Source organism: Homo sapiens, chromosome 1 (assembly GCF_000001405.40).
Source record: "Homo sapiens chromosome 1, GRCh38.p14 Primary Assembly".
Lineage (NCBI taxonomy): Eukaryota > Metazoa > Chordata > Mammalia > Primates > Hominidae > Homo > Homo sapiens.
The window spans coordinates 36,233,891-36,260,291 of record NC_000001.11 but is presented as its reverse complement, the minus strand read 5'-3'; the positions used below and the strand labels follow the sequence as shown (position 1 = coordinate 36,260,291).

Below are 26,401 nucleotides of genomic sequence, written 5' to 3'. Positions count from 1 at the left end.
CTATAGTGTTTTTGCAAATATATACAGCTTTTGTTTGTTTTTGTTTTTCTGAGACAAGGTCTTGCTCTGTTGCCCAGGCTGGAGGGCAGTGGCAAGATCTCGGCTCACTGTAACCTCTACCTTCTGCATTGAAGTGATTCTCCTGCCTCAGCCTCCCAAGTAGCTGGGATTACAGGTGCCTGCCACCATGCCTGGCTAATTTTTGTATTTTTAGTAGAGACGGGGTTTCACTATGTTGGCCAGGCTGGTCTCGAACTCTTGACCTCAAGTGATCACCTGCCTTGGCCTCCCAAAGTGCTGGGATTACAGTCAGGAGCCACCACGCCTGGCCCCCAATTTTAATTAAAACAAGTATATATCCAAGTAACATAAGCATGAAAAGGGACTGCTTCCCAAAATATTAATGATTACAGATGTCAAGTTTACCGACAGCCTTTTTCAAACGAATACTGTTTCATAAGAACCCAGAACTTCCATTAACGAATCATCTGGATAATCAATTCTTTTTCTTTTCTTTTTTTTTTTTTTGAGACAGGGTCTTGCTGTCACCCAGGCTGGAGTGCAGTGGCATGAACATGGTTCACTGCAGTCTCCAACTACTGAGCTCAAGCTATCCTTCTGCCTCAGCCTCCCAAGTAGCTGGGACCACAGATGTGTATCACCAGGCCTGGTTAAATTTTTTTATTTTTTGTAGAGACAGGATCTCACCATGTTGCATAGGCTGGTCTCGAAATAATCAATTCTTAACGTAAGATTGGTTTTACAAATTAGTGAAGTTATTAGTTTCTTTTACCACCATGCTTTTACCTTATTTGAACAATGATTCAACTCGTACTGGATCCCAGACACTACCCCAAAAGAACACCCGCAGCACCACTGGCTTCTTCACTTTACAAGTCAGCATACACTTCTGAAATGAGAGAAAATAAGTAGTGATAAAATGGCTACCCAAATGCAGATTCTGTTACTGATGCTCAAAATCTATAAACACAAACCCTACTTTAGCCCTCAGCTTTACTCCAAAAGGACCCAAGCTTTTCTCTCAAAGTATGAGATGGTCTGCCTCTGTCTGACAGGTTTTCATTCATCTAACCTCCTACAGTATGGAAAGCAAAAGCCTTCCTTACTGTAACCTGATACTTTCACTGGCAATATTTCAGGTGCTAAGGTTTTCATTATGCAAGACTAATTCACAAGCTCCACAAAACTCAACCTGGTGAACCTGACAAAAATCAGATGTTTAAAATAAGAAAGCAATGAACAGAAGTATATTAAAATGAATTTAACAAATGCATTTCAAGGTAAAGTAACTCTCCGTACCTACCCATAAAAGCACAAAAATTCCCTTCTGCTCCAGTTGTCTATTCCCAGATCTATGAACATGGTCATACATCAAAGCTATGTCCAGCGTTTTCCAAAACAAACAGGAAAAACAAGTTCCAAGACCAGCAAGCTCATGTAGGTAATTAGATGTCCTCACTCCTGCCTTATCAAAACTTTGTTGTTATTCTTATTACAGGGGCAGTGGCTCACGCCTATAATCCCAGCACTTTGGGAGGCCAAGGCGGGCGGATCACGAGGTCAGGAGATCGAGATCATCCTGGCTAATATGGTGGAATCCCGTCTCTAGTAAAAATACAAAAACAAAATTAGCCAGGCGTGGCAGCAGGCACCTGTAGTCTCAGCTACTCAGGAGGCTGAGGTGGGAGAGTGGCGTGAACCCAGGAGGTGGAGCTTGCGGTGAGCCGAGATCGCGCCACTGTACTCCAGCCTGGGGGACAGAGTGAGACTTCGCCTCAAGAAAAAAAAAAATTACTAACAGGATAATACTGTTTTATCCAGATGAGGCTTAGTATTCAGATCCTTTACCAAATAACAATGTCGGTATGTGTTTCTTTATTAATGTAAGTACAAATATAGCACTTTAAAAAACTCACTCAAAATACTTTTTCATGTCTTCTCGCTATGTATTCTTCTAATTCAGCCTAGGTTACATCAGCCAAAACTTCTTCCCCTGATTCCTCACTCCAGAGGCACAGAGGGCTCACATCAGTCAGCTCTGCCTAGCTAGTGAGGGAAATCCCATGTCTGCTACAGGACTGCAAACTGCTCTTATGCTGTAACATGTTGAATTTAAAAAACAACCTATTCCAAGCCGGGCGTGGTGGCTCATGCCTGTAATCCCAGCACTTTGGGAGGCCGAGGCGGGCGGATCACGAGGTCCAGAGTTCAAGACCAGCCTGGACAACATGGTGAAACCATGTCTCTACTAAAAATACAAAAAGTAGCCGGGCATGGTGGCACATGGCTGTAATCCCAGCTATTCGGGAGGCTGAGGCAGGAGAATCCCTTGAACTCGGGAAGCAGAGGTTGCAGTGTGCCGAGATCGTGCCATTGCACTCCAGCGTGGGTGACAGAGCGAGACTCTGTCTCAAAACAACAAAAAAACACAATCTATTCCAATACATCCATCTTTCCCTCTAATTCTAACCAGATGGCAAAAGTACACACACATAAATCTCCCATTTTATTACTCCATCATATTTCCTATTAATTAACCTCTTCTTGGATATTGGCAAGAATTTTATCATTCCAACAAGTCTTCAATTCCCCATTGTTGCGATGAGTGAATAAGCAAATCTGAGGCTCTGGCCTTTAGTTACTCTGTGACAGCGAAGAGACACCTGAAACCCTGAGTCACCCCCTGCCACCACAGTTGCCCTCCTCCTGCCTAGCCTGTCCTGCATGTCATCTGGCCAGCCACAGGCATACTTGTCAGCCTCTATCTCCTGAACCTCCTTTGGCCAAACAGCAGTGTATTAGCAAGGAGACTCCACAATAGACCCTCTTCCCTTCTACACATTACTAATTGTCCACTTATTCAACAAATAATTTATTAAGTACTGACTACATGCCAGGCACTATTCTAAACACTGGAGGTTCAATAATTTAAAAGTCCCTTCATGCCTGGAACTGACATTCTAGTGAGCAGATGAGGGCACCTGGAGGAGTAAAAGTTATACAATTTTATATCACGCATTAAGGGAAGGCCTCTCTCATGAGACAGCTGAGCAGAGACGGAAGAAAAAGAGTATACTGGGCCTTATCTGAGGAAACAGCAAATGCAAAGACCCTGGGGAGGAAACATGCCTGACTGTCTGAGGAAGAGACAAAAATAAGAATGTCTGCAATGTTGGCCAAGCGCGGTGGCTCACACCTGTAATCCCACCACTTTGGGAGGCCGAGGCGGGCAGATCACCTGAGGTCGGGAGTTCAAGACCAGCCTGACCAACATGGAGAAACCCCGTCTTTACTAAAAACACAAAAAATTAGCCTGGCGAGGTGGCTGGTGCCTGTAATCCCAGCTACTCAGGAGGCTGAGGCAGGAGAATCACTTGAACCTGGGAGGCAGAGGTTGTGGTGAGCCGAGATCGCACCACTGCACTCCAGCCTGGACAACAATAGCGAAACTCTTGTCTCAAAAAAAAAGAATGTCTGCAATGCAAACGGTTACCAATGAGCTGTTGGTAGATCAGGTCAGAAACACAGCTGAATGGACAGGGCCTTGCAATCAAAGTAAGGACTTTGGTTTTCCTCTGGGTAATGAGGGCAGCCACTGGAGTGTTTAGAGCATAAAATAGGAGCATAATTATGTTTCAAAATACCACAAACTGCAATGATACATGCTCGCTGCTGCGTGGAGAACAGATTTTAATGGGTCACAAATAGAAGAAATTAGTAGATAATGCCCAAAATAATCCAGGCAGGGTCGGGCGCAGTGGCTCATGCCTGTAATCCCAGCACTTTGGGAGGCCGAGGCGGGCGGATCACGAGGTCAGGAGATGGAGACCATCCTGGCTAACATGGTGAAACCCCGTCTCTACTAAAAATACAAAAAATTAGCCAGGCGTGGTGGCGGGCGCCTGTAGTCCCAGCTACTCAGGAGGCTGAGGCAGGAGAATGGCGTGAACCCAGGAGGCAGAGGTTGCAGTGAGCCAAGATTGCGCCACTGCACTCCAGCCTGGGGGACAGAGCAAGACTCCATCTCAAAAAGTAATAATAATAATAATAACAATAATAACAATAATAATAATAATAATAATCCAGGCAGGCCAGGTGTGGTGGCTTACAACGATAACCCCAACATTATGGGAGGCTGAGGCAAGAGAACTGCCTGAGCCCAAGAGACAGAGGCTGCAATGAGCCATGTTCACACTACTGCACTCCAGCCTAGGTGACAGAGCAAGACCTTGTCTCAAAAAAGAATAAAATAATAATAATGATCCAGATAAAGGACAACAGTGCCTTAGACCAGCGTGTCACTCAGAACGCTCCCATGTTCCACACATTAGTAGACCTTAAACGACGATATAGTTTCCAAATCCAAACAAAGGGTAAACGCTAACATTCTAGGACCATACCATTTGTATCTCCTATGGTACACAAGACTGAATTTTTTTTTCCTTATCTCACCTCAAGTACCCCTGGCAATCTTTCTTTCTTTTCTTTTTTTTTTTTTGAGACAGAGTCTCACTCCCTCACCCAGGCTGGAGTGCAATGGTGCAATCTCAGCTCACTGCAACCTCCGTCTCCTGGGATCAAGCAATTCTCCTGCCTCAGCCTCCCTAGTAGCTGGGATTACAGGCATGCACAACCACACCCAGCTATTTTTTTTTTGTATTTTTAGTAGAGACAGGGTTTCACCATGTTACCCAGGCTGGTCTCAAGCTCCTGACCTCAAATGATCCGCCCACCTCAGCCTCCCAAAGTGCTGGGATTACAGGCATGAGCCACCGCGCCTGGCCTGGCATTCTTTTTTTTAATTAAATAGAGACAGGGTCTCACTATGTTGCCCAGGCTGGTTTCGAACACCTGCCCTCACATGATCCGCCAGCCTCAGCCTCCCAAAGTGCTGGGATTACAGTGCGAGCCACAGTACCCGGCCCCTGGCAATCTTTTATTGAGAACTACAGAACATAAGGAAACACTTTGCCCACTCTTGTGAACCTGAGGCCAAAGATAGTCCTTTAAACCACCAGGCGTAACAAGCAAGCTTATGTAATACTTGAGGACTAATGTGTTCTTGTTTCAAAAGCATGATGATAGCAATTAAAAGCGAAAAAAAGAAGACAGTGTCAAGTTAACCCAAAGTATCTAATGAATAACAAAATGTAATCTCAGCAATTCCCCACTGTAAAAAAAAAATACTAAGCATAAGATGACAGCTTAGCAAATAAACCTTTAGTTTTTACCACAGAAAACTGTGCAATGTCTGCTCCAAGTAGGTTTCATGGTATCAGTGGAAACCAAGATTGATCCAAGACTGGTGAAATTACTATAAATGGGTTTGGAGAGAAAACAGATCACTTCCAAATAAGTCATGTATACAGAGCCTTCTGTAATATGGGATGGCAACTAAGGCACACAGACCAAATCTAGCCCATTGTCTGGTTTTGTACCATCCATGAGCTAAGAATGGTTTCTGTTTTAAAAAATTTTTTTTTATCAAAAAAATACTTCATTAGAGGTTAAAATTATACAACATTCCAACTTCTTTTTTTCCCCCAGATTAGCTGCTGGGCTGGGGAAATTCCAATTTACACACCCATAAACAATTTTATAGGAACAGTCACATTCATTTACATATGGCTACTTGCACACTAAGACAGGAGATCTGAGTAGCTGCAACAGGGACTGCCTTCAGTGGTCTCACTGCTTTGCTCTGCTACAAATTGCAGTGACACAGTTATAACTCAACAGCATTTCACATACCATGCATAGGCAGTATCACATTTTATTATTATTTTTAATTACCAGTGCATATCCATCACATCAAAACAAGAAAAGCAGATGTTGATGTTACCCTTTTAAGGCACAGTGTGAAGTGTGAATCATTTTGTTATTGAATTTGATAGCAAATCATTGTGTTTATTATGAAATGACACCACAGATATGCCAAGAATATAACATACATTGATCTTACCAATATTCCCAACTTACAAGAAAGCAAATGACGGTAAAAAATATCTGTGGAGAAGAAAAGGACTTAGTTGGAAAAACTGGCAAACGTTGTGAAAATGTAAGGTTATTTATCAGCAGTTTCTCTGCAGACTTTTTTTCTTGAGACGTGGTCTCCGTCACCTAGGCTGGAGTGCAGTGCTGAGAAAAAGAAGGTGAATATCCTGACTTGCCCTACCACACGGCAGTTTGATGAGTTAGAAGCAGAAAAATTTTATGTTTCTTGAAAAGCTCAGGGCTGAGTATGAAATTTTTCAACAAGAACCACCCTTAACCACTATTACTGTTGCGGATACCAAATAGCTTTGAAGTTAGCTTTTGCTGCAGAGTTGATAATGTTTCTTAATGAATACAGTTTAAAATTACAAAGACCTGGCACAGTAGCTCACATCTGTAATCCCAACACTTTGGGAGGCCAAGGTAGGAGGACAGCTTGAGGTCAGAAGTTTGAGACCTGCCTAGTGAACACAGCAAGATCCGTCTCTACAAAAACTAAAAAAAAAAAAAAAAAAATTAGCCTGACTCAATGGTGTACGCCTGTGGTCCCAGCTATTCAGGAAGCTGGGACAGGAGGCTCGCTTAAGCCCAGGAGCTTGAAGTTGCAGTGAGCTATGATCTCATCACTGCACTCCAGACTAGCTGACGGAGGGAGATTCTGTCTCAAAGAAATAAAACAAAATTAGAAGTCAAAACAGCACTTCTATGGGAAACACATACTGTAATAAAATAATACTAATGACAATAAATGTTTCAATTTCAAGAAATGTCAAATTACTTTATTCACTTCTCATACTGTCAAAAGTTGAACAAGAAGTGATATCTCCATACCCACACAAATCTGAAGCAGATCTTCTGAGCTCAAACTACAGTTCCAGCATATTTCCAACCTTAATGCATGTGTAAACTAAATCTCCATATTTCAAAATCTGTCTAACTGTGCAGCTAAGGAGCTTCCATCTAATCTTCAATTGGAAGCGATTTATCTGCAATGTTATGGTATGCTAAAAGACAAATATCAAGAATCTAACACATTTCTGTGCCTTCCAAAAGATAAATCTGCTCAATTAAAATCACATGCTCAATGATTAATGTATTTGGCAGTACCCAATCTGTGTGAAGACATTTTCAAAGATGACACACATAAAACTTCACGACAGATCAGCATTAACAAATAAATATTTGCCATCAATTTTGAAAGGCACTGCTAACTTGGAAACCCAATTAAGTGAAATTGTACTCCCCAAAAGCAGAATTCCATTCTTATAGCCCTGTTACTACAAAAATTATACTCATTATTTACATTTATATATATATATATATATATATATATATATATATATATATATGCCTATCTATATATATTTTTTGAGACAGAGTCTCACTCTGTCACCCAGGCTGGCGTGCAGTGGCATGGTCTTGGCTCAGTGCAACCCCTGTCCTCCGGGTTCAAGAGATTCTTGTGCCTCAGCCTTGCAAGTAGCTGGGATTACAAGCTTGCGCCACAATGCCTGGCTAATTTTTTTGTATTTTTAGTAGAGACAGGGTTTCGTCATGTTGGCCAGGCTGGTCTCGAACTGACCTCAGGTGATCTGCCCGCCTCAGCCTCCCAAAGCGCTGGGATTGCAGGTGTGAGGCACGGTGCCTAGCCTGATTATTGTATTTTGAAATAAAAACTTTGTGCAAAGTTGTTTTCTCTCTTGTCATGTAAGTACCCACAGAGTAGCCTCAACTTTGCCTCTTGGCCAGCAAAGCCTAAAGTATCTGACCCTTTGGAAAGGTTATCAACCCCTTTTCTTCATCATTTGTCTAACAAATGCATTTAGTGCAGATGGCCACTAAGAATCAACCTTGGCCAGGCACGGTGGCTCATGCCTGTAAACATATACTTTGGGAGGCCAAGGCAGGTGGATCACTTGAGGTCAGGAGTTCCAGGCCAGCCTGACCAACATGGTGAAACCCCGTCTCTACTAAAAGCACACAATTAGCGGGGCATGGTGGCACATGCCTATAATTCCAGTTGCTTGGGCAGCTGAGGCAGGAGAATTGCTTCAACCCGGGAAGCGGAGGTTGCAGTGAGCCAAGATAGCGCCACTGCACTCCAGCCTGGGCAACAAGAGCAAAACTCCGTCTCAAAAATAAATAAATAAAAATAAAAATAAACCCTCATGAATAGTAATTCTCAAAACTGTAAGACTCCCAAATGGTAGGAACTGATATTTTTTAATATTTATGCCCAGCAACTCATAGTAAAACAAATAAAAGTCAGTAATTAGTCATCCCAAAGCAATTTCCAAAGCAACTGAACTCCTCAATAAATAATAAGAGCACATCTGGCTCTGAAGCCTATGTTTGATTCCCAACTCCACCAACTACTAGTTGTGAGACCCCGGATAAGTGACTTAATTAAATCTCACTATCTGTGGTCCCTTATCTATAAAACTGTTCCTACTTCACAGTGTTGTTGAACACCGAATAAATTAATATATGTATAAAGTTCTCAGAAAAGTGCTTGGCACAAAGGAGTACTCAATAAATATTGTTAATTGGGCCAGTATCAAAATGACAGTGAAAAGACACGACTTCAACAAGCTGGTTTGGGTAGTCATGTGGTCATTAAACAATTACATTCTCATGCGAATTCAGAATTTAGCTTTATAGCAAACTCGGAACATAAGACACTAATTCCATCTTGAAAACCTGTAAAAAGAGCAGTAGGCTCTGTCAACGACAAACCCAAGCCTATGCCTAATTCCAGGTTGAATGAGTCTGCTCCTTAAATAACCCTATCATTCTGTGCCTCAAGGTCTCAATGTACAACACAGAGAGGAATCAAACATGCCAACTGATGCACCTGAACGTTTCTACCTAGACCAATGGTTTTTAAACTCATGCTCTCGGGCTGTGCAGAGAGGTTGGGGAAAAGTAACTTTCCCATCTGAGTTATCCCGGTCCAGTAGATCAGACTGAACTGTCAAGAACTCATAATGACTACTTTCCCAGAACTTATCTTTTTATCACATTACAAAACTTTTATAAGCTACCAGCATTTCCTTATCACTTGAGCCTCTATTTCCTTGAAAACCAGTGGTCATGCACTACTACTAAAGTAAACTACTCCTTGAGGGCAGGTATCAGATCAAATTCCTTTTTATATCTCCAGTGCCATAACATACAACTGCCCATTTTAACCATTTTTATATGTACAGTTCAGTGACATTAAGAACATTCAGGCCAGGTGCGGTGACTCACCTGTAATCTCAGCACTTTGGAAGGCCAAGGTGGGCGGATCACTTGAGCTTAGGAGTTCAAGACCAGCCTGACCAACATGGTAAAACCCCATCTCTACTAAAAATACAAAAATTAGCTGGGCGTGGTGGCACACGCCTACAGTCCCAGCCACTCAGTAGGCTGAGGCACAAGAATCGCTTGAGCCCAGGAGGTGGAGGTTGCAGTGAGCTGAGATTGCGCCAATAGATGGGATTACAGGCGCGCACCACCACGCCCAACTAATTTTCTGTATTTTTAGTACAGATTGGGTTTCGCCATGTTGGCCAGGCTGGTCTCGAACTCCCGCCCTCAAGTGATCCGCCCGCTTCAGCCTCCCAAAGTGCTGGGATTACAGGCGTGGGCCACTGTGCCCAGCCTCTAAGGTATATTTTTTTAATGTGTCTTATAAAGTCAGTCTTAGAAAACATTCCTAAATAATCTCACTATTACGTGGCTAAATTGTACTCTACTAGAGAACACAGAGGATGCTAAATCTCTGATTATAAGAATATACCGCCTGTAATCCCAGAACTTTGGGAGACCAAGGCGGGCGGATCACAAGGTCAGGAGATCCAGACCATCCCGGCCAACATAGTGAAACCTGGTCTCTACTAAAAATACAAAAGTTAGCTGGGTGTGGTGGCGGGCGCCTGTAGTACCAGCTACTTGGGAGGCTGAGGCAGAAGAATTGCTTGAACCCGGGAGGCGGAGGTTGCAGTGAGCTGAGATCGCGCCACTGCCCTCCAGCCTGGGCGACAGAGCAAATCTTTGTCTCAAAAAAAAAAAAAAAAAGTATGCCTAATTCACTAAGGGCCTATTTGGAAGGAAATTTCAGTCAGTAAAAAATTATTAATTTTAGAGTTGGAAATGTCGATAATATATCCAGAGTCTACCTTATGTAATTGCCGAATTTTGTAAAAATTTTCATCCAAACTTGATTAATAACCCATTTAACCCAAGGCGTTACACCAGGATAACCAACTTCTCTAGATTGCTTTCGTCTATAAACAAGAGACCAAATTTGATGCCAGAATAACCTGTCACAAATATGATCATGTCATTCCTCCAATTAAAGGTCCTTCCTGCTTACTGCATAAAATTCAATACAAGCACACTGCAATCCTGCTCTACTCGCTCCACCTTCTACCACTGACTCCTATGCTTCTACCCTTAATCAAACTACATTTTTAGAATGAACTTTCCTGTTCCACACCATTAGACATGCTCGTCCCACTGCCTTGAATAGCCTCCTCTCACCAAACCACCACTCCTGTCTCAACCTCCACCACACACACACACACACACACACACACACACACACTCACCACCTGCTTCGCTTATTCGAAACCTTCCAGCAACAGCTCAAATGTAAATTCTTGTAAAACCTTCCCCTAATTCTCCAGAAGGAGTCAGTGAGCATCTCATTCCAGGTTCTACTATTGCCCTTATCATCCTGTATTGTAATTAACTGTCTCTCCCACTAAACATGAAGGTCCCTTAAGAATAGGGACTGTGGGGCTGGGGGCAGTGGCTCACGCCTGTAATCTCAGCACTTTGGGAGGCAGAGGCAGGTGGATCACGAGGTCAGGAGATGGAGATCATCCTGGCTAACACGGTGAAACCCTGTCTCTACTAAAAATACAAAAAATTAGCAAGGTGTGGTGGCGGGCACCTGTGGTCCCAGCTACTCGGGAGGCCAAGGCAGGAGAATGGCATGAACCTGGGAGGCAGAGCTTGCAGTGAGCGGAGCTTGCGCCACTGCATTCCAGCCTGGGCGAGAGCGAGACTCCATCTCAAAAAAAAAAAAAAAAAAGGGACTGTGCTGGCTGGGTGCGGTGGCTTGCACCTGTATCCCAGCACTTTGGGAGGCCCAGGTGGACAGCCTGTGGTCTGGAGTTTGAGACCAGCCTGGCTAACATGGTGAAACCCCATCTCTACTAAAAATACAAAAACTAGCCAGATGTGGTGGTGCATGCCTACAGTCCCAGCTACTCAGGAGAATCATTTGAACCCAGGAGAAAGAGGCTGCAGTGAGCTGAGGATCACGCCACTGCACTCCAGCCTGGGAAACAGAGCAAGACACTGTCTCCAAAAAAAAAAAAGAAAGAAAGAAAAAGAATAGGGACTGTGCCTTATATTTATCTTGTATCTCCTCCAACACCTAACGCAATGCCTGGTACATGGTAGATTTCATCATGTTTGCTCAATAGGTAAGTTTGAGCCCCAAGATAATAAACATCTGAGCAAGCATGGCAACAGTGAAGACACAAGTATAAATCAAGTGAGCCCTCACATACATAAGAATTTACTGAAACTAGCACAACTACAGAGGATACAAAGAAATATAAAATGCTGGAAGCCAGGAGTTCAAGACCAGCCTGGGCCATAAAATGAGACTGTCTCTACAAAAAAATAAAGCATGCCTGTAGTCCTAGCTACTCGGGAGGCTGAGAATCGCTTGGGCCCAGGAGGTCAAGGCTGCAGTGAGTCATGATTGCACCACTGTACTCCAGACTAGGTGACAAAGCAAAACTGTCTCACAAAAAAAAAAAAAAAAAAGAGGCTGAGGCTGGGTGCAATGGGTCTGGCCTGCAATCCAACACTTAGGAAGGCCAAGGTAGAAGGATCACTTGAGGCTAGGAGTTCGAGACTAGCCTGGACAACAAACCAAGACCCCCATCTCTACAATAAAAGTATTCAAAACTCAGTCAAAGCCACCAACAAATAAAGATATGGCAGGGTCAGACCAGTTAACAACTGAGGAGATGAACAAAAATGAAGGCCTGAAAGAAAAGAATAATTTTTTTAAATATTAAAAGATGAAGGAGGCTGGGCACCGTGGCTCATGCCTGTAATCCCAGCACTTTGGTAGGCCAAAGTGGGCGGATCACCTGAGGTCTGGAGTTCAAGACCAGCTTGGCCAACATGGTGAAACCCTGTCTCTACTAAAAATACAACAATTAGCCATGCATGGTGGCGTGTGCCTGTAATCCCAGCTACTCGGGGGGCTGAGGCAGGAAAATCGCTTGAACCTGGGAGGTGGAGGTTGCAGTGAGCCAAGATCGTGCCACTGCACTCCAGCCTGGGCGGGGTGACAGAGCAAGACTCCATCTCCCAAAAAAAAAAAAAAAAAAAAGATGAAGATGGGAGATGTGGTCAAAAGATACAAAATTTCAGTTAAGAGGAATAAGTTGGGCAACATGGTAAGTGCAGTAAATAATAATGTACTGTATATTCAAAGATCGCCAAGAGAGATTTTAAGTGTTCTCACCACACAAAAAAAATGAGGCAATACATATGTTGATTAGCTAGATTTAACCATTCCACAATGTACACATATTTCTTGTATATCATACTTGACAATTAAAAGTTAATTTTTAAGGCTGGGTGTGGTGGCTCACACCTGTAATCCCAACACTTTGGGAGGCTGAGGCGGGTGGATCACTTGAGGTCAGGAGTTCAAAACCAGCTTGGCCAACATGGTAAAACCCCATCTTTACTAAAAATACAAAAAATTAGTGGGGTATGGTGGCACACGCCTGTAATCCCAGTCACTGAGGAGGCTGAGGTGGGAGAATAGCTTGAACCTACGAGGCCGAGGTTGCAGTGAGCCAAGATCACGCCACTGCACTCCAGCCTGGACGACAGAGCTAGACTCCAACTCAAAAAAAAAAGTTAATTTGTCTTTTTGAGACGGAGTCTCGCTCTGTCGCCCAGGCTGGAGTGCAGTGACTCCATCTCAGCTCACTGCAACCTGTGCCTCCCAGGTTCAAGAGCTTCTCCTGCCTCAGTCTCTCGAGTAGCTGGGATTACAGGCGCCCACCACCACACACAGCTAATTTTTGTATCTTTAGTAGAAACAGGGTTTCACCATGTTGACCAGGCTGGTCTGGAACTCCTGACCTCGTGATCCGCCCGCCTCAGCCTCCCAAAGTGCTGGGATTACAGGCGTGGGCCACTGCACCCGGCCAAAAAAGTAATTTTTTAAAAAAGACTAAGAAAGGCCCTTGAGAAAACTGAAGCCCTCAATATTTTTGCAAAAGTTATAATGTGAACAATGTATATTATCAATTTTTTCAGAGAATTAGAAAAAGAACCGTTGATACAATTTTGATAAATATGCAGTTATGCCTGTAATTTTATTTATTTATTTATTTATTTATTTGAGACAGAGTCTCACTCTGTCGCCCAGGCTGGAGTGCAGTGGCACGATCTCCACTCACTGCAAGCTCCGCCTCCTGGGTTCACGCCATTCTCCTGCCTCAGCCTCCCGAGCAGCTGGGACTACAAGTGCCGGCCACCACTCCCGGCTAATTTTTTGTATTTTTAGTAGAGACAGGGTTTCACCATGTTAGCCAGGATGGTCTCGATTTCCTGACCTCGTGATCTGCCTGCTTCAGCCTCCCAAAGTGCTGGGATTACAGGTGTGAGCCACCGCACTCGGCCCATGTTATTTATTTTTTAAAAAGAAAAAGGCTGGGCACAGTCGCTCACACCTGTAATCCCAGCACCTTGGGACGCCAAGGCGGAGAGATAACTTGAGATCAGGAGTTCGGGACCAGTCTGGCCAACATGGTGAAACCCCGTCTCTACTAAAGATACAAAAATTAGCTTGGCATGGTGGTGTGCAACTGAAGTCCCAGCTACTTAGGAGGCTGAGGCAGGAGAATTGCTTGAACCCAGGAGGCAGAGGTTGCAGTGAGCCAAGATCGCTCCACTTTTCTCCAATGACAAGGTCTTACTCTATACATATTCCTATATACTGTGCTTGAAATTCTCACAGATATAATACTGTTTATCCTCTCATGCACCAGTCTGCCAGCCCCAGGTGCCTTGGAGTTCCATGAAAAAATGGACAAAGATTTACATGCTCTACAACCAGACTCTGGGATTGAATCCAGCTCTATCCCCTTTACTAGCTGTGCAATCCTGGATCTGTTTCATCTTTCCTTGCCTCACTTACATCTGTAAAATGCAGATTATAATCATACCTCCCCCTAGGATTGTAGGGAATAATTAAATGGTTAATACATGGAATGTACTTAGAACGACTGTAAGCACAGATATGCACTCAGGTTACCTCTTATTATCAGATGTACTATAATCTTAAATTTATTCAAAATTGCTACTGACTGAAAAATACGTGATTTTGGTGGGTGTGGGGAGGAAGTAGCGAAAAATAAAAAGTCCTAGCTGGAAAAGCAAATATAACTGTTCAAGGGCTATTAAAATGCAATGATCAAGAGACAAGGAATGAGAGACACATTTACCCAGGGGAAGAACCAAAACATAGCTAGCCTCAAATGCCAAGTAAAAAGAAAAGTAAACTTTATCTCTGCAAATGGGAAGCCACTGCATGTTTCTAAGCAGGCAAACTGTTGGGATAAGGGGATGGATCAGGATGGGCAAGACAAAGTTAGGAAGCTATCACATTTGAGGTGAACAGACCCTGGAACAGAATCATTCAGTCAGCAAGACATGCACCTATCATATTTAAGGTCTTTAAGGAGTTTGTTTACCTGTAAGATTGGGGAAAGGACCCAGGCGTGGTGGCTCACATCTAAAATCCCAGCACTCTGGGAGGCTGAGGTGGGGAGATCACCTGAGGTCAGGAGTTCGAGACCAGCCTGGCCAAAATGGTGAAACCCCGTCTCTACTAAAAATACAAAAAAATTAGCCGGGTGTGATGGCGCAGGCCTGTAATCCCAGTTACTCAGGAGGTTGAGGCAGGAGAATCGCTTGAACCTGGGATATGGAGGTTGCAGTGAACCAAGATTGTGCCAGTGCACTCCAGACCGGGCAACAGAGTGAGATTCTGTCTCAAAAAAAAAAAAAAAAAGATTGGGATGGGGGTGTCACATGCAGAGATCTATATAATACATGTCAGAACTCAGCACCACCAGAGTGGTACAATGGCAAAGGCCACTTACAACTAGAGGAACAAAGTAAGGTTTTCAGGAGGAAGACTTAGTAGTTAACCTGGCTCTGGCCAGGCGTGGTGGCTCACGCCTGTAATCCCAGCACTTTGGGAGGCCGAGGCGGGTGGATCACGAGGTCAGGAGTTTGAGACCATCCTGGCCAACATCATGAAACCCCGTCTCTACTAAAAATACAAAACAAAATTAGCTGGGCGTGGTGGCGTGTGCCTGTAATCCCAGCTACTCAGGAGGCTGAGGCAGGAAAATTGCTTGAACCAGGGAGTCGGAGGTTGCAGTGAGCTGAGATTGCGCCACTGCACTCCAGCCTGGCAACAGAGCGAGACTCTGTCTCAAAAAAAAAAAAAACCCACAAGTAAAATTGTACAGGTAGATATGAGAAAAGGAGCTTTCCTCACTAGGCATCCAATAGCAATGGAAATAGAACTCACAGGAGTGAAATCTGAAACTGCTTTACACATACATGGCATTCAACAAATAACTGACTAGACGTAGAAGTGACGAAGAGGAAAGGAATCAAGGTTTCAAAACTAAGTGACTACGAAATCTAAGAAATCAGTTTGACACTAAGTATAGTAAAGCTAAGAAGAAGGTATAATTTAGATGAAATTTTTAATTCAGTTTTGGATACTTCAGTTTGCTCATGCTGGAGAATCCATGAAGGCACATTCAACCTTTGAAGACTTTTTCTTTTTTTAATTACAAATTGGAAGTAGCTACTAGATTTGACACAGAGTTCAGAAACTTATTTTCAACCAAACTTCCTAATTAGAAATAACATTACCAATTTTGGAAATCTTTAGAAAATTAAAAAGATGCCTATCCAAAATGTCCATATTATGATTCTCCTAGTTAAAGAAAATAAATTAGTAGCTGCTTTGCAGCTTATACTAATCCAATAGCAATTTATAAACACCATTAACAAATGGCAACCCTCTTCCTTCCCACAAGGCCACTTGGTCATTCTTAAGTAGAAAGTTCCTCACAAGCTCACAAGGAGCCCCTCTGCCCGGCCAGCCGCCCCGTCCGGGAGGGAGGTGGGGGGGTCAGCCCCCCGCCCGGCCAGCCGCCCCGTCCGGGAGGGAGGTGGGGGGTTCAGCCCCCCGCCCGCCAGCCGCCCCATCCGGGAGGGAGGTGGGGGGGTCAGCCCCCCGCCCGGCCAGCCGCCCCGTCTGGGAGGGAGGTGGGGGGGTCAGCCCCCCACCCGGCCAGCCGCCCCGTCCGGGAGGGAGGTGTGGGGGTCAGCCCCCCGCCTGGCCAGCCGCCCGTCCGGGAGGTGAGGGGCGCCTCTGCCCGGCCGCCCCTACTGGGAAGTGAGGAGCCCCTCTGCCCGGCCACCGCCCCGTCTGGGAGGTGTGCCCAGCGGCTCATTGAGAACGGGCCATGATGACAATGGCGGTTTTGTGGAATAGAAGGGGGCGAAGGGTGGGGAAAGGATTGAGAAGTCGGATGGTTGCCGTGTCTGTGTAGAAGGAGGTAGACATGGGAGACTTTTCATTTTGTTCTGTGCTAAGAGAAGTTCTTCTGCCTTGGGATCCTGTTGATCTGTGACCTTGCCCCCAACCCTGTGCTCTCTGAAACATGTGCTGTATCCACTCAGGGTTGAATGGATTAAGGGCGGTGCAAGATGTGCTTTGTTAAACAGATGCTTGAAGGCAGCATGCTCCTTAAGAGTCATCACCACTCCCTAATCTCAAGTACCCAGGGACACAAACACTGCGGAAGGCCGCAGGGTCCTCTGCCTAGGAAAACTAGAGACCTTTGTTCACTTGTTTATCTGCTGACCTTCCCTCCACTATTGTCCTGTGACCCTGCCAAATCCCCCTCTGCAAGAAACACCCAAGAATGATCAATAAAAATAAAAAAATAAAAAGAAACCCTCATTTGGGCTCAGAGCAAAAAAAAAAAAAAAAAAAAAAGAAAGTTCCTCACAAAATGCATCTTATTCCCAAACCACTTATAAGCAACATTAGCAGCTTGCCACAATCAGCATTCTATTTTTGTTTTTAGAGATGGGGTCTTACTGTCACCCAGGCTGGAATGCAGTGGCATGATCATAGCAATCCTCCTGCCTCAGCCTCCCAAAGTGGTGGGATTACATGTGCAAGCCACCATGCCCAGTCTATCTCAAAATAAAATAAAATAAGCAATTAAAAAAAAACACTAACTGTGAAAAGCTTTAAAATTTTTAGAAGAAAACAGAAGAGAATATCTGTATGAATTCAGGGTGAGGAAGGATTTCAAACAAAATTCTATAAGTACAAACCATAAAGGTAAAGACTGACAAATCTATCTATATGCCTTAGAAAATCAAAACAGAGGGTGGGCGTGGTGGCTCACGCCTGTAATCCCAGCACTTTGGGAGGGCGAGGCAGGCGGATCACAGGTCAGGAGATCCAGACCATCCTGGCTAACACAGTGAAACCCCGTCTCTACTAAAAATACAAAAAATTAGCCGAGCGTGGTGGCTGGCGCCTGTAGTCCCAGCTACTTAGGAGGCCGAGACAGGAGAATGGCGTGAACCCATGAGGCAGAGCTTGCAGTGAGCGGAGATCGCGTCTCTGCACTCCAGCCTGGGCGACAGAGCAAGACTCCATCTCAAAAAAAAAAAAAAAAAAAATCAAAACAGACGGCTCGCACCTGTAATCCCAGCACTTTGAGAGACTAAGCTGGGAAGCTCACTTCAGCCCAGGAGTTCAAGATCAACCTGGGCAACATGGCAAGACCTGGTCTCTACAAAATATAAAGAAAATTAGCCAGGCATCATGGCGCACACCTGTGGTCCCAGCTACTCTGGAGGCTGAGGCAGGAGGATCATTTCGGCCCAGGAGTTCGTATGTTCGTGCCACTGTACTCCAGCCTGTGGGACAGTGAGACCTTGTCTCAAAAAACAAATAAATGAACAAACAAAAAAATGAAAGCAGAATATATAACCTGAAGTAGAATGTAGACCTAAATACCCAGAAGCTCCATCAGTTAGGTTTATAACAAAAATTATTATGAATGGAAAAATTAATTCCAGCGGGACTGTGGATGCATGGAGCATACCAGTGTTAGCAAAATGGCAAAATCCATACAACATTAAAGTTCTACTTACTTCAAGAGCTAAGACATCTAATGACATCCAAAGAAAATAAGTAGCTTCCACAGCCACCAGAAGTAAAACCATGACAATTAATTTTAGCAGATCTTGGCCGGGCATGGTGGCTCACACCTGTAATCCCAACACTTTGGGAGGCCGAGGTGGGTGGATCACCTGAGGTCAGGAGTTCGAGGCCAGCCTGACTAATGTGGTGAAACTCCATCTCTAAGAAAAATACAAAAATTAGCCAGGCATGGTGGTGGGTGCCTGTAGTCCTAGCTACTCTGGAGGCTGAGGCAGGAGAACTGCTTGAACCCAGGAGGTGGAGATTGCAGTGAGCCAAGATCACGCCACTGCACTCCAGCCTGGGCAACAGAGCAAGACTCTGTCTGAAAAAAAAAAAAAAAAAAATTTTAGCGGATCTTAAACTTCAGTCAACCTTCTACTCATGTTAATGTCTTAATTAAATATCACAATGCAAAATACTCACACATTAAGAATTTCTGCTGGTAAACATGACCTGGACATTTGTAAGAATATATATTTATTTATATATGTGTATATATATATATATATATATATATATATATATATATATATATACACCCATTATCATTTCAGATAATGGGAAGAAAAATACAGCACAATTTTTTTTCTCATTAGGGCACTGTCATTTAAACATAAACCTGAAGTACTCTAAAGAGAATTCAGGTTTACAAAAACAAGTGTGGTGAGAGGTGTCAGGTGTCAGCGGCACGTATTTCTGAAAAGTAAAAATCTTTTTTTTTTTTTTTTTGAAACGGAGTCTTGCACTGTCGCCCAGGCCCGATCTCGGCTCACTGCAAGCTCCGCCTCCTGGGTTCACGCCATTCTCCTGCCTCAGCCTCCCAAGTAGCTGGGACTACAGGCACCTGCCACCACGCCCGGATAATTTTTTTGTATTTTTAGTAGAGACGGGGTTTCACCGTGTTAGCCGGGATGGTCCCGATCTCCTGACCTCGTGATCCGCCCACCTCAGCCTCCCAAAGTGCTGGGATTACAGGCGTGAGCCACTGCGCCCGGCCGAAAAGTAAAAATCTTAAGAAGGAAAAAACAGAAATGGCACACTTTACCTATTTTGCTTAGTGAAAAACTGCAGCCAAAATTGTTTAAAGTAGCAGGTAAAATAAATATTATCACAAATTATGTTAATTTTTGAAGCGGTGCAGGTGCTGACTTCTAGAAGTATCCAAAATATACACAAGAAAAAAAAAATCCAAAATATGTCCAGGATTATTTTGATACCTATATTTATACCAAAAAAAATGTTAAGGGCTGTGATGGTTAATATTAGGTGTCAACTTGACTGGACAGAGGAATAGCTATATGGCTGAGGCAATGTTCCTGGGTACGTCTGTGAGGGTGTTGCCAGAGAAGACTGACATGTGAGTGAGTGGACTGTGAGAGGAACCAGCCCACATGTCCAGCTGGACTCTCAATGTGGGTGGGACACCATTCAATCAGCTTTAAGCACAGCTAAACAATGGGGATAAGTAGATTGCTTGCTGAGTCTGCTCTCTCTCTCATGCTGTGACAGATGCCTGGCTTCCTCTCCTCCTGCCCTTAGACATCAGACTCCAGGTTCTTCAGCCTTTGGACTCTAGGACTTGCACTAGAGGCCTCCCAGGGGCTCTCGGGCCCTTTCACCTCAAACTAAGGGCTGCACTGTTGGCTTCCCTGGTTTTGAGGCTTTTAGACTTGGACTGAGCCACGTGACCAGCTTCTCTCTTTCCCCAGCTTGCAGACAGCCTATCATGGAACTTCACCCTGTAACTGTGAGAGCCAATTCTTCCTAATAAACTCACTTTTATTTATACATATACCCTTTGGTTCTGTCCCTCTGGAGAACCTTAATGTAGGGGGGTTGATGAATTTCTGTTACAAGCTGTTCTTATGTGTTACATGTAACAGACATGGTAAATATTTATATTCTTTGTGTAACAAACCATGCCTTTACGTGAAGTCAACTAAAAAACAAACACATAGGGATATGTCATTCTGAGCTCAAGGTTTATCTTAAAATGTAAATAAATTGTGAAATGTAGCCACAAAAACAAATGATTAAGATGATAAAATTTTATGTTATACATATTTTACCACGAAAAAAGTAAAATGAGTTGATTAGTGGAAAGAAGTGACAAAGCAATTAAGCAAATGCTAACAAATGTAAAATCTAGGTGATGGACATATAGGTCTCACTGTACTGTACAATTGTTTCAACTTTTTTGTATGCTTGAAATCTTTCCTAATAAAATGTTGGAGGAAAACAGAAATCAAAGATATTGCCATCCCTGCTAGAATACACTTGATACAGAGTGATTAACCTACCCAGAACCAGGGAAACAAAGGCCTTACAGGGATGATGAAATGTAAAAGCCAGTTTGGCCAGGTAAGGTGGCTCATGCCTGTAACCCCAGCAATTTAGGAGGCCGAGGTGAGAGGATTACTTGAGCACAGGCATTAAAGACCAATCTGGGCAACATGGTGAAACCTCGTCTCTACTAAAAACACAAAAATTAGCTGGCCATGGTGGCGCAAACCTGTAATCCCATCTACTTGGGAGGCTGAGGCAGGAGAATCGCTGAAAGCCGGTGCAGGGGCGGCGGAGGTTGTAGTAAGCTGACATCGAGCCACTGCACTCCAGCCCGGGTAATAGAGCGAGAAGCTGACTCAAAAAAAAAAAAAAAAAAAAGACCAGCCTGGGCAACACAGGGAGACCCCGCCTCTACAGAAAATAAAAAAACACGGCCGGGCATGGTGGCTCACACCTGTAATCCCAGAACTTTGGGAGGCCGAGGCGGGCGGATCACCAGCTCAGGAGATCGAGACCATCCTGGCTAACAAAAAAATTAGCCGGGTGTGGTTGTGGGCACCTGTACTCCCAGCTACTTGGGAGGCTGAGGCAGGAGAATGGCGTGAACCCAGGAGGCGGAGCTTGCAGTGAGCCGAGATCGCGCCACTGCACTCCAGCCTAGGCGACAGAGCAAGACTCCATCTCAAAAAATAATAATAATAATTAAACAATAAAGAAAGAAAGAAAGAACAGTCGGGCATGGTGGCATGCACCTACAGTCCCAGCTACTTACTTGTGAAGCTGAGGTGGAAGGATCACTCGATCCTCTCAGGATCAGGAGTCACCTTTCAAGCCCAGGAGTTTGAGGGGCAGTAGTAAGCTATGACTGCACCACTGCACTCCAGCCTGGGCAATGAAATAAGACCTTGTCTCCAAAAAAACGAAACAAAACAAAAGCCCGAAAAGCTCACTCATTACACTAAATCTTCTAAAAGTGTTGCTGACTAAAAGTCCATTTTAGCTACATTCAATGAGATCATCACAACAGCTGTAATAACACTAACCAGTGGGAAGAGATCTGCCTACCATAGCCCCAAAATAGACACTAAACAAGCTTTAGCTCACTCATCATAAATATCCAGTATCCTGAAGGCAACACTTGAAGCCCCAATCTAAGCAATAAATTAGTCTACCCCTAAAAAAATAATCTGGATAGGAATTAAATCTGAAAATGATACGAATCAAAAAAGATTTTTCATACCACATATTTCCATTCCAATAAATGCCTAGCACTCATAGGCAAGTACTTAATGCCTAATTTCCAAATTTCCCACAAACAGAAAAATCAAGTAACATCAAATGTGGTACTTAATCTAAATTCTAGTTCAGGCTGAGCACGATGTTTTACCCATATAATCCTAGCACTCTGAGGAAGCTGAGGTGGGCAGATGGCTGGAGGTCAGGAGTTTAAGACTACCCTGGGCAACAAAACGAGACCCTGTCTCTACAAAAAATTTGCTAAATCGCCGGGCGCGGTGGCTCACACCTGTAATCCCAGCACTTTGGGAGGCCGAGATGAGTGGATCACGAGGTCAGGAGATCCAGACCATCCTGGCTAACACGGTGAAACCCGTCTCTATTAAAAAAAAGAAAAAAAAATTTTGCTAAATCACCAGGCATGGTGGTACACACCTGCAGTCCCAGTTACTCAGGAGTCTGATGTAGGAAGATCACTTAAGCTCAGGAGTTTGAGGCTACAGTCAGCTATGTTCATGCCACTGTACTGAGGCCTGGGTGACAAAGCAAGGTTGTCTCCAAAAACACACACACACACAAAAAAAACCTATTTCCTACCTAGTTGTTTTTTTTTGTTTGTTTGTTTTGTTTTCAGACAGTCTCATTTTGTCACCCAGGCTGAAGTGCAGTGGCATGATCTTGGGTCACTGCAACCTCTACCTCCCAGGTTCAAGCAATTCTCCGGCCTCAGACTCCCAAGTAGCTGGGATTACAGGCGCCCGCCACAATGCCTGGCTAACTTTTGTATTTTTAGTAGAGAGGGGGTTTCACCATGTTGGCCAGGCTGATCTTGAACTCCTGACCTCAAGTGATCTGCCTGCCTTGGCCTCCCAAAGTGCTGGGATTACAGGCATGAGCCATCGCGCCCAGCCTTTTTTTTTTTTTTTTTTTTGAGATGAAGTTTCACTCCTGCCACCCAGCCTGGAGTGCAGTGGAGCAATTTTGGCTAACTGCAACCTCTGCCTCCTGGGTTCAAGCGATTCTCCTGCCTCAGCCTTCCAAGTAGCTGCGATTACAGGTGCTTGCCAACACGCCCAGCTGATTTTTGTATTTTACGTAGAGACAGGATTTCACCATGCTGGCTAGGATGGTCTTGAACTCCTGACCTCAGATGATCCACCTGCCTCAGCCTCCTGAAGTGTTGGAATTACAGGTATGAGCCACCATGCCCGGCCCCTACCTAGCTGCTTTTTGTTTTGAGATGGAGTTTCACTCTTATTGCCCAAGCTGGAGTGCAATGGCACGCAACCTCCACCTCCCAGGTTCAAGCGATTCTCCTGCCTCAGCCTCCCCAGTATCTGGGATTACAGGGATGCGCCACCACGCCTGGCTAATTTTGTGTTTTTAGTAGAGACAGGGTTTCTCCATGTTGGTCAGGCTGGTCTTGGTCTCCTAACCTCAGGTGATTTGCCCGCCTCGGCCTCCCAAAGTGCTGGGATTACAGCTGTGAGCCACCACACCCAGCATTGTTTTTAAAGAACAGAAACTCAAAGTTATATATATGCATACTCCAGAGCTAAGAGGTTCAGTAAAATTGTCCCCAAATTGTTTACTTTCAGCATAGAGGTAACAGCATTCTCTCTGCATTCTGAACATGTCCATTGTGGGCTGAGAGGTAGAGTTTAATTAGTTAATATGAAAATGGTGATACATAAATGACAAAGGAAATTCGGAAACTCTTCTGTGAAATCTAAGGATGGAAAACTGCATGTACTAGCCGGCCCCGGCAGAAGATGCTGACAAAGATATGAAGAGGCAAGGTAGACTGGTGCAGTGGTAGCTTAAGCCTGTAATCCCAGCACTTTGGGAGGGGGAAGTGGGAGGATCAGTTAAGCTCAGGGGAAGGGAGGGGAAGGAAGACTGGAGTGGGGAGAAGGAAGGAGGAAAAGGAAAGGGGGAAGAAGGAAGGGAAGAAAGGAAGAAAAAGGGCAATGTATACCAGCACTGTCTCTCTACTAGAACTTTCTGAGAATGAAATGTCCTATATCTATGTAGTTCTATATAGCTAGTATGACTGATGAACTAAATTTTTAGAGCTCAACATATACTTAATAGACACTGATCAAGGAGGAAATGGAGAGACATAAAGGTTTGGTTTTTGCGCCCAGTCTGTCATGAAGGTTTTTTTTTTTTTTTCTTTTGAGACTGAGTCTCGCTGTGTCACCCAGGCTGGAGTGCAGGGGCGCGATCTCGGCTCACTGCAACCTCTGCCTCCCAAGTAGCTGGGACTACAGGCACCTGCCACAATGCCCAGCTAATTTTTTTTTTTTATTTTTAGTAGAGACGGGGTTTCACTATGTTGGCCAGGCTGGTCTTGAACTCCTGACCTCACAATCTGCCCACCTCGGCCTCCCAAAGTCCTGGGATTACAGGTGGGAGCAACCACGCCCAGTCCGACATAAAGGTTTTTAAACCAAACAAAAGCATTAATCCTGGACTTTTTTGAAACTCACTGTATTATGTCAATAAACATGACTTTCCTGTCTCCATCTCTTTTCTACCTAGCATTCCACTATATGAATGTACCATAAGCAGTCCCATGGTGGCATATATTTAGGTTGCTATCAGTTTTTCACTTACATAAATAATACTGTAATGATTATTCTTATCTTTAAGGACCTGTCCAATAGGAAATCCTTAAGGTGTGTTCCTTGAAGTACATAGTGTTGTCCTCTAGAAAAGTCTACAGCAATTTATACTGCTACCAGCAGTGTTTGAGAATTTCCCCAAACCTTCACCAACAATAATCATCATATTTTTTTGTCACGGTGGAAATCTCAGGAAGAAAATGGTATCTCAATTTCATCTGTATCTCTCTGGTTTTCATATGAGACTTGTCAGTATTAATAATCTAATTTTCAAAATGGTCAACCAATTTTTCTAGAACCATTTACTGAATAATTACACCATCCTTCACTATCTTAAAATATTGCCTTTTTGGTATCCTTTGTTCTTTCCAACTGCTGTGGGGTTGAGGGTTCTGAGTGTTTCTCATTGTCTTTTCAGACTTAACTTCTTATGACTACTTTCCTTTTCCAAATAGTTACCAAACAATCTATCTTCTTGTTTCCATATACAATAATATTATTATCTATGGTGTCAAAATCTTCACAGAAAAAAGAAAATTATAATGATATTCATGTGCTGAATACCTACCACGTGCCTGTCATTGGGTTAATCATCTAACCATCACAATAACCCCCCCTGCAGCTAGACAGAGATTTCTACCTCCATTTAAAATTGAACAGGCTGGTCATAGTGCCTCACGCCTGTAATCCCAGAACTTTGGGAGGCCAAGGCGGGTGGATCACCTGAGGTCAGGAGTTCGAAACCTGCCTGGCCAACATGGCGAAACCCCGAATCTACTAAAAATACAAAAATTAGCCAGGCGCGGTAGTGGATGCCTGTAATCCCAGCTACTCCGGAGGCTGAGGCAGGAGAATTGCTTGAACCGGGAGGCAGAGGTTGCAGTAAGCCAAGATCGTGCCACTGCACGCCAACCTAGGCGACAGAGCGAGACTCTATCTCAAAAAAAAAAAAAAAAAAAAAAAAAGACTGAAACAGAAATAAAGGAAGAGAAGAGGCAAGCTAGGTTCTACACAATGAATAAGACAAAGCATTCACCATTAACCCAAGAATTAATGTCACCTTCTAAATTTCCAAGGAAAAGATGAATTATCAGAACAGGCTTTTACAATTTAAGTTCTTCTGAAGCAAGATGCTAAATATTAAGCTTTCATAATAAACAAACCCAAGAAGTGCATCCCTATTTCTCCTCCACGGTTCCTCTTTATCTTTACTATTCAGAAATACCTTCATCTAGTACCAAAGGAAAAAATATATATACATACGACATACCATAACAGTAAAAATCTCTTCTATATATCCAAACACTGGCCTGAAGAATGACATTATGAGAAACTTTTACTTTCTACATTTCCTATTTCTGTAATGTCTGAATTTTTTCAACCACCATCTGTCTGTGAGCAGGGGGGAAGAAATGAAGACACCTCCCTGCCCCACCAGGGCTTTCACAAAATGTGTGCTCTGCTTGAATAAACCCTGGGGTAGGGTAGAAGGGTATTAGGGGACTTATCAGTTTTATCTTTTTAAAAATAAAATGTTGGCCGGGTGTGGTGGCTCACATCTGTAATCTCAGGACTTTGGGAAGCTGAGGAAGGAGTTCGAGACCAGCCTGGGCAACATGGTGAAACCCTGTCTCTATAAAACTACAAAAATTAGCCAGGCATGGTGGTGGGCACCTATAGTCCTAGCTACTCAGGAGGCTGAGGTGGGAGGACTCCCTGGGCCCAAGAGGTCCAGGCTGAGGTTAGCCGTGATCACGCCACCATACTCCAGCCTGGGTGACAAAACAAGACCCTATCTCAAAATAAAAAGAAAAAGAAAAAATGAAATGTTAAGCAGAGCCTCAAAGTATAAAATATAAATGCACAACTGTTCTGATTGAAG

General features: G+C 43.9%; 1 protein-coding gene and 1 pseudogene across 19 annotated transcripts in view, besides 4 other annotated features; one reads left to right on the top strand and one right to left on the bottom strand.

Moving 5' to 3' along the window:
• THRAP3 (thyroid hormone receptor associated protein 3) overlaps positions 1–26,401 on the bottom strand; it is a 97,721-nt gene that overhangs the window by 45,066 nt on the left and 26,254 nt on the right. For 10 of the 19 annotated variants that reach the window (XR_007065302.1, XR_007065301.1, XM_047436227.1 and 7 more), the window contains one exon: positions 808–910. The exons of 2 other annotated variants lie outside the window; for them this stretch is intronic. The gene's annotated coding sequence lies outside the window, so the exon portion shown is untranslated. Of the gene's footprint in view, positions 1–807; positions 911–1,324; positions 1,629–14,804; positions 16,245–21,428; positions 21,542–22,181; positions 22,272–26,401 lie in introns of those variants that run through there. 7 more of the 19 variants (XM_047436215.1, XM_047436245.1, XM_047436218.1 and 4 more) reach the window with 5 other exon arrangements.
• Positions 2,623–2,682: a silencer, noted in NCBI's record as "silent region_659". NCBI's record gives its function as "represses an Ori minimal core promoter by ATAC-STARR-seq in GM12878 lymphoblastoid cells {active_cell/tissue: GM12878}" and the evidence as "EXISTENCE:reporter gene assay evidence [ECO:0000049][PMID:35858748]".
• Positions 11,610–11,904: an enhancer, noted in NCBI's record as "tiled region #10257; HepG2 Activating DNase matched - State 5:Enh, and K562 Activating DNase unmatched - State 5:Enh". NCBI's record gives its function as "activates a minimal TATA promoter and a strong SV40 promoter by Sharpr-MPRA in HepG2 and K562 cells {active_cell/tissue: HepG2 | K562}" and the evidence as "EXISTENCE:reporter gene assay evidence [ECO:0000049][PMID:27701403]".
• Positions 11,610–11,964: a biological region, named in NCBI's record as "Sharpr-MPRA regulatory regions 10257 and 14041".
• Positions 11,670–11,964: an enhancer, noted in NCBI's record as "tiled region #14041; HepG2 Activating DNase unmatched - State 5:Enh, and K562 Activating DNase unmatched - State 5:Enh". NCBI's record gives its function as "activates a minimal TATA promoter and a strong SV40 promoter by Sharpr-MPRA in HepG2 and K562 cells {active_cell/tissue: HepG2 | K562}" and the evidence as "EXISTENCE:reporter gene assay evidence [ECO:0000049][PMID:27701403]".
• On the top strand, positions 18,136–18,394 carry UBE2V2P4 (ubiquitin conjugating enzyme E2 V2 pseudogene 4; annotated as a pseudogene).